Here is a 13,591-nt window from a genome sequence, read left to right on the forward strand (position 1 = left end):
GGGATTGGCTGTGGAGTGTGACTCACGGCGCGCGATGACGGTGGGGTCCGCCGCGATCGCGGAATGGATGGAAATGGAGGAGGGAAGGGGTGGGGGCCACGGGTTGGGCTTGAGTGAGGAAGGGGACAAGATGGAGGATGGCCTGGACGTGGCCGGGGATTGGCTATGGGTGTGGACTCAGGGAACTCCATTGGCTGTGGAGTCGGCCGGGATCACATGCTGGTTCAGGCATGCGTAGGTGCGGGCTCGAGTTAGTGGGGCGGGGACTTGGATATGGGTATGGAATTTGGCCCCAGGGCTCGAATCGGATGTATGCGACTGATCGGGTTGGGGCAGGTTATAGGACGAGGACTGGTTTGCAAGGATGGGCAAGCTGTGGGGCCGCTGGGCTTGTACAAGTGGAGGGATCGGGTTGGAATAACTTTGGAAGGTGCCTGAGAGAGGGCAGGGCTAGAGAGAGTGTGAAAAGGGGTTCCTAGATGCATTTGTCATTTGAGATGGGGGTGTGGGGTTAAAAAGCGTAAAGGAACTTCACTTTCCTGGATATGAGTTTGATCAGCAAACTAAGAATGAAAGGGACATGTGAGACTGAAGAAGGAAGAAAAATGACACTAAAAAGCGAAAAAGAAAATTCTCTAGGAAAACAAGGAAACCACTGGTGACTTCTTTGGGGAGGGCAGTGTCAGCGAAAGGAGAGTTTTTGTTAAAAATTGAATTTTATGTTTGGATATTTTTCCTCTTCTATTTTAAGAGGATGAGAGGCTAGAGGGAGTGGGAGAGGCGTTAGCATTGTTATTCAGTTCTAAAGGAGGGAACAAAAGTATACATTGATTAAAGGAATATACTCTTCAACTAGGTACAGGAAGTTTCAGAAGACGGTTAGGTGCATGGAGAAATTATTGTGTACAGGTAGGGGCGAGCCTGGATGTGGCCTGGGATTGGCTGTGGAGTGTGACTCAGCGCGCACTGGCTGTGGGGTCCCCCGCGATTGGTGATCATACTACATCTCACCTTTAGGAGGGAGGAAAAGTGCAGGGCTAAAGCTGTAATCGGCAAAGAAGCAACAATCATATTAGCTGGGGGAGGAGGAAAGGTGTAGGGCTAAAGCTGTAATCGGCAAAGAAGCAACAATCATATTAGCTGGGGGAGGAGGATAGTTTGGTATTTTTGTAGTTTGCACAGTGACCTTTTTAAAAATCTGGTTAGGCAAAAATAGTGTGATCTTGTTTGTTGTCTCACTTCATTATGATCACAGAATGACCTGGTATGATGTTAGTGTTTTATGAGAGTGTTATGTTTTAACAGGGGAACACCGCAGTCAATTCCTAACAACACTAAAGTGTCAGTTCTGTTCGTGACACCAAGGGCTGTTTTTCTTTTTCTCATATAATGTTGAGGCAACTGGGAAGAATGAGGTAGAGAAAACATGTGTCTTAAACCTTACATTCTGGTAGGGAGAGACAAGCAATAGACAAGTAAGTATAAAAAATGACTTTAGAGGGTGGTAAGTGCTATGAAAGAAGCAGTGATGGGTGGAGATAGCTGCAAATTTAAATAGGATGGTCAGGAAGTCTTTTTTGAGGAGGTGACATTAGAACTCAGAATTGAATGGTAAGGAAGCAGCCTTGCAAAAATGATTCTGGAAAGGGAAATAGGAGTTGAAAAGGCCCTGAATGTACAAAAAGGCCGTGTAAGTGAGTCCTTGAAATTACTAGCTAATAGGCCGGGTATGGTGGCTCACGCCTGTAATCCCAGCACTTTGGGAGGCCAAGGTGGGTGGGTGGATCATCAGGTCAGGAGTTCGAGACCAGCCTGACCAACATGGTGAAACCCTGTCTCTACTAAAAATACAAAAAAATTAGCCAGGGGTGGTGGTGCATGCCTGTAATCCTAGCTACTCAGGAGACTGAGGCAGGAGAACTGCTTCGACCCGGGAGGCAGAGGTTGCAGTGAGCCGAGATTGTGCCACCGTACTTCAGCCTGGGTGACAGAGTGAGACTCCATCTCAAAAAAAAAAAAAAAAAAAAAAGAAAAAGAAATTACTAGCTAATAGGTATATTGCCCTTTACCCTTTTATCTTGTTTTCTGAATACAAAAATTACCCTTATACCCTAATATTACCCTTATATTACCTTATACCCTTGTTTTCTGAATAAAAAATTACCCTTATACCCTTGTTTTCTGAATAAAAAATTATGTAGATTAGGCCTTTTTCCTTGCCTCTTCTAAAGAACTAAAAATATTTTGAAATATAACAGAGAGAAAGGGGTATAGCATAATGGATAAGCCAAATTGCCTGGTTCAAATTCCACCTCTGCGATTTTCTAGCTGTGTTACCTTGGGCAAGTTATTTCATTTCTCTGTGCTTCAGTCTCCTCAATTGTAAAAAGTGAATAATAGAACCCTACTCAGAGTGTTATTGTAAGGATTAAATGATTTAATGAATCAATCAACCAAAACAAAACCAACAATATTTAGGAGAGTACTCAGTCCTTAGTAAGTACTATAACATTGGTCGTTACGAAAAAGGGAAAGAGAAACTTTAGGATGGGGCTGCTATTTATCCCCCACTATTTGATACTCTCTTCTATTTTTTTAAAAAAACTTTTTTTGGGTCACAATCTGTTTTTAAATCTATAGTAATAGAGTCCCCAAGTTTCAGCAAAGTACATGGGTGCATTGTATAAAGAATGCATTTCCACCCTCTGTTATGGCTAGGTTGGCTGTATGACCAAATTGTGGCCAATGGCATATAAATGGGAGCTGTACGTGCAGCTGCCATGAAATGTCTTAAAGGAGTGGTAGGCCCTTCTTGTTCCCTTGGTTTGCAGTTTACCTGCCAGTTTGGGTGCATGGTACAGGTCTAAGATGCCTGCAGCCCTCTTGGACCACCATATGGAATCTACAAGTTCAAGATGATCTAGTGCAATAGAATGAGAGACAAGGATCCTGAGCCCTGACATCATGGAGCCACCACTCCAGCTCTGGACCAATTATCTATATTTGCAGATAAATAAATCAACTTCAATTTTGTTTAACTCTTTTACATTTGTTTCCTGAAGTGTAGCCACAGTTTGCCTGTAATTGTTTACTGACTACTATTCTAGTTGATTCCCAAAGGCATTCCGCTTTCCTTTTACATGGGTCTTCCAGGTGACAATAGAGGAGTGAGGGAGGAAAACAAGTTGGAAGATAGTAGCAATGCCTCATTATCTGAAAATGCTGCTGAAGAGGTATCTGTGACTTCTAGGTACTAAGAGTCAAGGAGGCAGGACTACATTTTCCTTTATCTTATAACCCTACAGTAGTACTAAGAAGGACTGCTCTAGGAAACAAGACAACTAAGTGTGGGGTTGTAAGTTCCTAAAGACTTTTCCACCTTATAATCCTGCTCTAGAGAATTATGTTCAGTTTTCAGTCTCACGTAAGTATTTTAAATGCAATATTTATGTGTGTGTATTAGAATATTAAACTAATGTTTCCTAGCCAGATAATAATAGCTATACAAACATTAGTTCAACTATTTCAAAAACCATAATAGAAATTGTACACTTAACCCATGGAAAGGCTGATCAGGGTAAATGTGTGTCTCATTTATCTGTTGTCTGTCTATTCACATACACGTTTGGCTGTATTGATAGCAACTTAACTGTTAGAATTTGTGATTTGAATCAGTCAGATAGTCTTTACAGTCTTTGAACAATTTTTAAAAAGGGAAAATGAATTTTGACTTTACAAATCAGTTTGGCGCAGAATATACATTCCTCTCATCTGCACATGGCACATACTCTAAGGTTGACCACATGCTCAACCATAACGCAATTCTCAACAAATTGCAAAAAACTGGAATAATACCAGCCACACTCTAGTACTACAGCACAATAAAAATAGAAATCAATACCCAGAAGATCTCTTAAAACTATAAATTACATGGAAATTAAACAGCCTGCTCCTGGGTGATGTTTGGGTAAACAATGAAATTAAGGCAGAAATCAAAAAAGTCTTTCAAACTAATGAAAACAAAGATACAACATATCAGAATCTCTGGAACACAGTTAAAGCAGGGGTAAGAAGAAAGTTTATAGTGCTAAACGCCTACATCAAGAAGTTAGAAAGATCTCAAATGAACAACCTAACATCACACCTACAGGAACTAGAAAAACGAGCAAATCAACTCCAGAACTAGCAAAAGAAAAGAAATGACCAAAATTGAGCAGACTGAATGAAATCGAGATGCAAAATCCATACAAAAGATCAATGAAACCAAAAGTTGTTTCTTTGGAAGAATAAGATTTAAAGACTATTAGATTAATAAGGAAAAAGAAGATCCAAATAAACACAATCAGAAATGACAAATATGACATTACCATTGACCTTACAGAAAAAAAAAATACCCAGACACTATTATGAACTCCTCTGTGCACACAAACTAGAAAACCTGGAAGAAATGGGTAAATTCCCAGAAACATATAACCTCTCAAGAATGAACTAGGAAGAAATTGAAATCCTGAACACACCAATAATGGGATCCAAGTTGAATCAGTACTAAAAAACCTACCAACAAGAAAAACCTGTGGACCAGATGGATTTACAGCCGAATTCTACCAGATGTATAAAGAAGAGCTGTCAATAATCCTACTGAAATTATTCCAGAAAAATCAAGGAGGAGGGACTCCTTACTAACCCCTGAGGGTCAGCATCAGTCTGATATCGAAACCTGGCAGAGACACAGCAAAAAAACAAAACTTCAGCCGGGCGCAGTGACCCACGCCTGTAATCCCAGCACTCTGGGAGGCCGAGGCGGGCGGATCACGAAGTCAGGAGATCGAGACCATCCTGGCTAACACGGTGAAACCCCGTGTCCACTAAAAATACAAAAAAATTAGTCGGGCGTGGTGGCGGGCGCCTGTAGTCCCAGCTACTCGGAGGCTGAGGTAGGAGAATGGCCTGAACCCGGAAGGCGGAGCTTTCAGTCAGCCGAGATCCAGGCACTGCACTCCAGCCTGGGCGACAGAGCAGGACTCCGTCTCAAAAAAAAAAAAAAGAGAAAACTAAAGGCCAACATCCCTGATGACTACAGACACAAAAGTCCTTAGCAAAATACTAACAAATCAAATCCAGCAACACCAAAAAGCTAATCCACCATAACCAATAGGCTTTATTTCTGGGATGCAAGGTTGGTTCAAAATATGCAAATTACACATAAAAACTACAATGAGATATCATCTCACCCCAGTTAAAATGGCTTACATTCAAAAGACAGGCAATAACAAATGCTGGCAAGGGTGTGGAGAAAAGGGAAACCTCGTACACTGTTGGTAGGAATGTAAATTAGTACAACTACTATGGAGAATAGCTTGGAGGTTCCTGAAAAAAAAAAAAAAAAAAAAAACACAAAACAACAAAAACTAAAAACAGAGCTACCATATCATCCAGGAATCCCACTAGTGGGTAAATACCCACAAGAAAGGAAATTAGTATATCAAAGGGATGGCTTCACCCCCATGTTTATTGCAGCAGTGTTCACAATGCTGGCCCAAAGATAGTGCTAGATGCTTCATGCCAGTTAGATCCCTAGAGCAATGTTAGGAATATTAATCAACACCAGCTTTTCTAGGTCTTTAAAGAAGGGATACTGATGAAATCCTTTGTGGGGAGTAGAGGGAGAAGATTCTATTATAAATAGCACAAGAATATAAATAATTATCAAACTCGTGAAATAATCAATATGATGTTTAATAATTGTAAACTTTCAGGGAGAAGTGTTAGGAATGGAGTTGGGATAATAAAGTGTATATAAGATGTTCATTCATTTAAAAAAATTATTTATTATATGTATATGTGCCTGGCAACCTTTCTAGACTCTACTGATGCTGTGAGGAACAAAAAAGACAAAGACCCTGCCCACTGGACCTTATTTTCTAGTAGGGAGGGGAGACAGGCAGTAAGTTTGAACAAACTCATCAGTAATGTAAGGTAGTGATTAAATATTGTGAGGAAAAATAAAAATTCTGGCCACTAGATGGTGCTCATTGCTTTCTTAATTTCTTTCACTTACCCAGTTCATTCAACTGGGTAGGGATGCTGACTGCATGTTGCTCTATTAAAGTTGTGTTTGGGGCCAGGTGCAGTGGCTCATAACTGTAATCCCAGCACTTTGGGAAGCCGAAGTGGGAGGATCGCTTGAGCCCAGGAGTTCAAGATCAGCCTGGGCAACATAGCCAGGGCTCATATCTATTATTATTATTATTATTATTATTATTTTGAAGTTGTGTTTGGGTCAAAGTAATAGGTTCTTTCTTTTCCCGTCTCCCTTCTCCCAATTTTGATTTGTTTAAATTTGTTTTTTATTTTTTAGAGACAGGGTCTCATTGCTGTGTTGCCTAGGCTGGAGTGCAGTGGTGGGATCATAGCTCATGGCAGCCTCGAACTCCTGGGCTCAAGCAGTCCTCCTGCCTCAGCCTTCCAAAGTGCTGAGATTACATGCGTATGCCACCATGCTCAGCTTCCTTAGAGATTTCCAAGGATTTTTTTTGTTTTGTTTTTTGTTTTGTTTTTGTTTTTCTTAAGAGGCAGGTCTTGCTCTGTTGCCCAGGCTGGTCTCGACTTCCTGGCCTTATGCAATCCTCCCTCCTTAGCTTCTCGAGTACCTGGGACTATAGGCACACACTACCATGCCCTACTGGATTTCTCTCTTTCTTTCCTCCCTCCCTCCCTCCTTCCCTCCCTTCCTTCCTTCGTTCCTTCCTTCCTTCCTTCCTTTCCTTCTTTTCTTTCTCTCTTTCTTTCTTTTCTCTAATTAACTGATAAGGTGAAATAGGGCTAAGACATACTAAAGAGCTGTGTGAACTATCTTGTTATAGGGGGATTAGATTAACTCCTTCCTAAATCATAGATGTGCTCTCCCCTCAATTTCCTGGGTATTTAATTTTCTTTCATTTGTTTAATATATGTATTCAGCATAGACTTTAAGCTCTTTAAGAGAGAAACACAACCATGTTTCCTAGTCCTTGGCGGAGAATCTTGTAGATAACAACTATCTTGAATGAATAAATTCCTCTAGCCTAAGCAATTGCTGTTTTCTATGTAGTCTTACCTAACTTCCTAAAAGGACTGTTTTAGAGTTAGACTGGGGGGGAAATCTATATAATAAAACATGGGAGAACATTAAAGTTAGTCTTTGTTAAGGCTAACTCTAGAAAGAAGGTCTTGAGCCTTCTTTTCTATTGTGAGTAGAAGGAGCATTATAAGAACTACAGGGTGATGGAATCTAAGGAGATACAGGAATTGTGATCCATCCTGACAGTCTCTTGGTCTTAGAGTAGTTTTAATATACAGATCCTGTTCATGCTTTGTTAGATTTATATCTATTTGTTTCCTTTTTTTGTAGCTATTGTAAATAGTATCATTTTTAAAATTTTGGTTTCCAGTTTTTCTTTGCTTATATATAGAAACTGTTGAAGGTTGATTTTTGTGTGCTGACCTTGTATCTTTTGACTGTATTAAATTCATTTATTAGTTCTAAGAGTTTTATTGTAGATTACCTGGGATTTTCTACATAGGCAATAATGTTGCCTGCAAATAAGGACAGTTTTATTTGATGCTTTCTGATCTATATGCCTTTTATATCCTTTTCTTCCCAAATTGCACTAACACTTCCATTGTACTAACAATTCCGATGTAATGTTGAATGGGAGTGGTGAGAGTGAACATTCTTGTGTTGTTCCTAGATCTGAGGGGCAAAAGATTCAGTGTTTCATCAAGTATGATGTTAGCTGTAGAGTTTTTGCAGATGCCCTTGATCGGTTTGAAGAAGTTCATTTCCACTCCTATTTGCTGAGTTTTCATATGAATGACTGTCATATTTTATCAAGCTTTTTCTTTATCTATTTATATAACCATGTGATTTTTTTTCCTTCTTTAGACTTTTAGTGTGGTGAATTACACTAGTTGATTTTTGAACTGCTTTACATCCACAGGATGAATCCCACTTGATTGGTGTGCATTATTTTTCTATATTGCTGGATTTGATTTGTTAATAGTTTGTAGAGGATTTTTGCATCTATGTTTATGAGGGATAATGGTCTGTAGTTTACTTTTGTACTGTATTTGTTTAATTTTGTTATCAGGATGATGCTGTGCTCATAGAATGAATTGGGAAATGTTCCCTTTTATATTTTCTGAAAGAAATTATTAAGAATTGGAATTATTTAAAAAATGCTTAGTAAGGTTTGCCAGTCAAGAGGAACTATCTGGATGTGGAGATTTGTTTTTCAGATTCTTAACTTTTTTACTCCATTTCAGTTTCTTTAGAAATTATATGACAGTTCAGGTTATCTATTTTAACTTGGGTGAGTTTTAGTTGCTTGTTTGTGCTTTTTTCAGAAATTAGTCCATTTGAGTTGCAGAAGTTATACACATAGAGTTGTCAGAATGTTGAAATGTTGATTTTTAGTTTTACTATTTAATGCATCAAAGATTAAAAGTATTTCTTAAATCTTGATGTTTTTTAAAATTTTTTTGGTAGAAACACTTTATTTGGCTTTGTTGATTCTTGAGCCTGGTCATTTGTAAGACTGATTGGACAGGTTTCACTGAGGGATTTCTGCCTTTTTTTTTCTTTTTTTTTGTCAGGATCTCAGTGTTTGATGTGCTCCTTCCCTGTGGATCAGAGGAGCTTGTATTTCCTTTCACTAAACTCAGAGAAGGAAAACTAGCAACTTATTACTTAAACAAGAGAAGAAATACTTCTGTAAACTGAAAATATTTTTGGCACAGAGACACATACCATACAGGCCAGCAATTTTAGGCCTTAAGCTATGGTAGCTTCAGCAAACAGGAAATGAATAAGGGAAACCTGAAGCACCTTGTCATACAGATAGTGAGAAGGCTACAGGGTCATTCCAAAAGGATTCCAGAGCCAACTTATTCAGGCTCCCAATGGCCAGTACTCCTGGTTGTAGATCCAGGAACAATGCAAGAAAATCATAGCATTGCATTGCCATTTTCTTGTCATTGTTGCACTCAATGACACTCTCAGACCTACTATGTCAGAAAGTCAGAGGAAGGGTAGGGGCCAGGGAATCTTTATACTTAATAAGGTGATTTTAATGCATATCAGGATTGAGGAGCACTGGTGAAAGCAACATGCCTCCTTGGACAGTGAGCTTTATTTGATTCCTGGAGATATTAAAGAAAAGCACTAAATCAGAAGTCAGATGATATGGATTTGGGTCAGGACATTGATGCTACCAAACTAAGGAGGAAGTAACTTAATTTTGCTGAGTTTATAGTAGCCTTGAATGATCTTTTGTATTTCAGTGGTGTCAGGTTTAATACCTCCTGTTTTGTTTGTTAGTGAAGTTATTTGGATTTTCTCTCTTCTTTTCTTAGTTAATCTTGCTAATGGTCTATCAATGTTATTTTTCTTTTCAAAGAACCAGCTTTTTGTTTCATTTATCTTTTGTAGTTTTTTTCAATTTCATTTATTTCTCTGATCTTGGTTATTTCCTTTCTTCTGGTGGGTTTGGGTTTGGGTTTGGTTTGTTCTTGTTTCTCTAGTTCTTTGAGGTGTGAACTTAGATTGTCTGTTTGTGCACTTTCAGACTTTTTGATGTAGGTGTTTAGGGCTATGAACTTTCTTCTTAGCACTGCCTTTGCTGTATCCCAGAGGTTTTGATAGGTTGTGTCATTATTGTCATTCAGTTTGAAGAATTTTTTAATTTCCATCTTGATTTTGTTTTTGACCCAATGCTCATTCAGGAGCAGGTTATTTAATTTCCATGTATTTGCATGGTTTTGAAGATTCCCTTTGGAGTTGATTTCCAGTTTTATTCCACTGTGGTCCGATAGTGTGTTTGATATAATTTTAATTTTCTTAAATTTATTGAGGCTCATTTTATGGCCTATCATGTGGTCCATTTTGGAGAAAGTTCCATGCACGGTTGAATAGAATGTGTATTGTGAGGTTGTTGGAAGAAATTTTCTGTATGTATCTGTTAAGTCCATTTGTTCCAAAGTATAGTTAATCCATTGTTTATTTGTTGATTTTCTGTCTTAATGACCTGTCTAGTGTTGTCAGTGGAGTATTGAAGTCCTCCAGCATTATTGTATTGCAGTCTATCTCATTTCTTAGGTCTATTAGTAATTATTTTATAAATTTGGGAGCTCCAGTGTTAGGTGCATATATGTTTAGGATTGTGATATTTTCCTGTTGGACAAGCCTTTTATCATTATATAATGTCCCTCTTTGTCTCTTTTAACCACTGTTGCTTTAAAGTTTGTTTTGTCTGATATAAGAATAGTTACCTCTGGTCGCTTTTGGTGTCCATTTGCATGAAATGGCTTTTTCCACCCATTTACTTTAACTTTATGTGAGTCCTTATGTGTTCGGTGAGTCTCCTGAAGACAGTGGATAGTTGATTGGTGAGTTCTTATCTGTTCTGCAGTTCTGTATCTTTTAAGTGGAGCATTTAGGTGATTTACATTCAATGTTAGTATTGAAATGTGAGGTAATCCTTGCGTTCATCGTACTCTTTGTTGCCTGTGTACTTTGTTATTTTTTTGTTTTTGTTTTTTGCTTTTGCTTTTTACCTTGTATTTTTGTTTTGTAGGTCCTGTATGATTTATGCTTTAAAGAGGTTCTGTTTTGGTGTGTTTCCAGGCTTCGTTTCAAGATTTAGACCTCCTTTTAGCAGTTCTTATAGTGGTGGCTTGGTAATGGTGAATTCTCTCAGCAATTTTGTCTGAAAATGACTGTTTCTTTCCTTTACGTTTGATGCTTAGTTTTGCTGGAAACAGAATTCTTGGCTGATAATTGTTTTGTTTGAAGAGGCTAAAGATAGGGCCGCATTGCCTTCTGGCTTGTACGGTTTCTGCTGAGAAATCTGCTAGGTTAGTCTGATATGTTTTCCTTTATAGGTTACCTGGTGCTTCTGTCTCACAGCTCTTAAGATTTTTTTCCTTCATCTTAACTTTGGATAACCTGATGACAATGTGCCTAGGTGAAGATCTTTTTGTGATGAATTTCCCAGGTATTCTTTGTGCTTCTTATATTTGCATGTGTAGGTCTCTAGCTAGGTTGGGGAAGTTTTCCTCAATTATTCCCCCAAATATGTTTTCCAAGCTTTTAGAATTCTCTTCTTCCCCAGGAACACCCATTATTCTTAGGTTTGGTCATTTAACATGATCCCAGACTTCTTGGAGGATTTGTTCATATTTTCGTATTCTTTTTTCTTTGTCTTTGTTGGATTGGGTTAATTCAAAGACCTTGTCTTTGAGCTCTGAATTTCTTTCTTGTACTTGTTCAATTCTGTTGCTGAGACTTTCCAAAGCATTTTGCATTTCTAAAAGCGTGTCCAAAGTTTCCTGAATTGTGGATTGTTTTCCTTTAAGCTGTCTATTTCATTGAATATTTATCCCTTCACTTCTTGTATCATTTTTTTGGATTTCCTTGCATTGGGCTTCACCTTTCTCTGGTCCTTCCCTGATTAGCTTAGTAACTAACCTCCTGAATTCTTTTTCAGATAAATCGGGATTTCTTCTTGGTTTGGATCCATTGCTGGTGAACCAGGATGATTTTTGGGGGGTGTTGAAGGGCCTTGTTTTGTCATATAACCAGAGTTGGTTTTCTGGTTCCTTCTCATTTGGGTAGGCTCTGTCAGAGAGAAGGTCTAAGGCTGAAGGCTGTTGTTCAGATTCTTTTGTCCCATGGGGTGTTCCCCTGATGTAGTACTCTCCCCCTTTTCCTATGGGTATGGCTTCCTGTGAGCCAAACTGCAGTGATTGTCGTCTCTCTTCTGAGTCTAGCCAGCCAGTGTGTCTGCCCAGCTCTGGGCTGGTATTGGGGGTTTTCTGTACAGAGTCCTGTGATGTGGACCATCTATGGGTCTCTGAGCCATGGATACTAAGGGAAGAAAACACCCCTCATATTGTCTTATGCCCAATTTCTGCCTCCAAAGAAAGAAGAAGTAAAAATTAAAAGGCAGAAATGAAATCCACAAGCAGACAGTTCAGCGCCACACCCTGGGCCTGGTAATTAAAGATTGACCCCTGACCTAATTGGTTATGCTATCTACAGATTACAGACATTGTATAGAAAAGCACTGTGAAAATCCCTGTCCTGTTCTGTTCCGTTCCGTTCTAATTACCAGTGCATGTAGCCCGCAGTCATGTACCCCCTGCTTGCTCAATCAATCACGACCCTCTCACGTGGACCCCCTTAGAGTTGTGAGCCCTTAAAAGGGACAGGAATTGCTCACTCAGGGAGCTCGGTTGTTGGAGACGTGAGTCTTACCAAAGCTCCTGGCTGAATAAAGCCCTTCCTTCTTTAACTCAGTGTCTGAGGGGTTTTGTTGGTGGCTTGTCCTCCTACAATACCAGTGCCTGTTCCAGTGGAGGTGGTGGAGGGTGAAATGGACTTCATGAGGGTCCTTGGTTTTGGTGGTTTAATGCTCTATTTTTGTGCTGGTTGGCCTCCTGAAAGGAGGTGGCACTTTCCAGAAAGTATCAGTGGGAGAGGGACTGGTGGTGGGCAGGGTCCTAGAACTCCCAAGATTAAATGACCTTTGTCTTCAGCTACCAGGGTGGATGGAGAAGGACCATCAGGTCAGGGCGGGGCTAGGAGTGTCTGAGCTCAGACTCTCCATGGCTGGATCTTGCTATGGCTGCTGTGGGGGATGGGGGTGAGATTCCCAGGTCACTGGAGTTGTGTACCTAGGAGGATTATGGCTGCCTCTCCTGAGTCATGCAGGTTGTCAGGGGAGTGGGAGAAGCTGGCAGTCACAGGCCTCACCCAGCTCCGATGCAAACTGGAAGGCCGGTCTCACTCCCACTGTGCCCTTCTCCCTGCCAACAGCTCTGAGTCTGTTTCCAGGCAGAGGGCAAGAGGGGCGGGCTTAAAATTTGGCTGAGGCTTTCTGCTCAGCCAAAAAGAAAAGGACTTTAGTTCTTCACCAGCCTGTGAAGTTTGCATGCTGGATTTGTGCCCTCCCCGAGTTCTGGCAGGAGGCTTCTCGCCCCATTCAAATTGTTACAAAGTTTGGTTGGAGAATTTCTTCTTTCTGTGGAGTTTTACCTGTTGCTCCTCTGGCTGACCTCCCGATAGATCCCTGTGGTGCCAGGCAGGAATGGCCTGCCTGGGGACACAGTGAGCTCCCAGGGCCTTCCAACTGCTTCCTCTACCCCTGTATTTTGCTCGGCTCTCTAACTTGACTCAGCTTCAGGTAAAGTCGGAAACTCCTCCTGCACACAAACCTTCAGCTTCTCCAGTGGGGGTGTGTGTTCCAGAGAGGAGGGTCTCCCTTTCCCACTTCTGCAGTTGGGGCAGTCAGAATATTTGGAGTGTTTCCTGGGTCCTGCAGGAGCAGTCTGCCTCCTTCAGAGGGTCTGTGGGTCCTCTTGGGATTCATCGTGTAATATTTTGAAACACTACATAATTATTTCAAGATTCTAACATATACAATCTAATCCTTATGATTCTTATAAATGTAAGTAAAATAAGGCAGATATAAAATGAAACTTTGACCAATGTTTCTATAAACAAAGGTCTGCAAACTATAGCTTGTGTGTGCCACCTGGTTTTGAAAATTAA

The 13,591-nt window shown here is 40.1% G+C and overlaps 1 protein-coding gene and 1 long non-coding RNA gene across 3 annotated transcripts in view; one reads left to right on the forward strand and one right to left on the reverse strand.

Annotated features, from left to right (window-relative positions):
- KYAT3 (kynurenine aminotransferase 3) overlaps positions 1-100 on the reverse strand; it is a 71,917-nt gene extending 71,817 nt beyond the window's left edge. For both annotated transcript variants that reach the window (NM_001349447.1, NM_001349448.1), the window contains exon 1: positions 27-100. The gene's annotated coding sequence lies outside the window, so the exon portion shown is untranslated. The remainder of the gene's footprint in view (positions 1-26) is intronic.
- A 146-nt stretch (positions 101-246) lies between these two features.
- On the forward strand, positions 247-3,038 carry LOC124904215 (uncharacterized). The gene is made up of 2 exons (XR_007066212.1): positions 247-1,475; positions 2,862-3,038. It is a non-coding gene; the product is annotated as an uncharacterized LOC124904215 (long non-coding RNA).
- The last annotated feature ends 10,553 nt before the right edge of the window (positions 3,039-13,591 follow it).

This window comes from Homo sapiens, chromosome 1 (assembly GCF_000001405.40).
Source record: "Homo sapiens chromosome 1, GRCh38.p14 Primary Assembly".
In the NCBI taxonomy this organism is placed as follows: domain Eukaryota; kingdom Metazoa; phylum Chordata; class Mammalia; order Primates; family Hominidae; genus Homo; species Homo sapiens.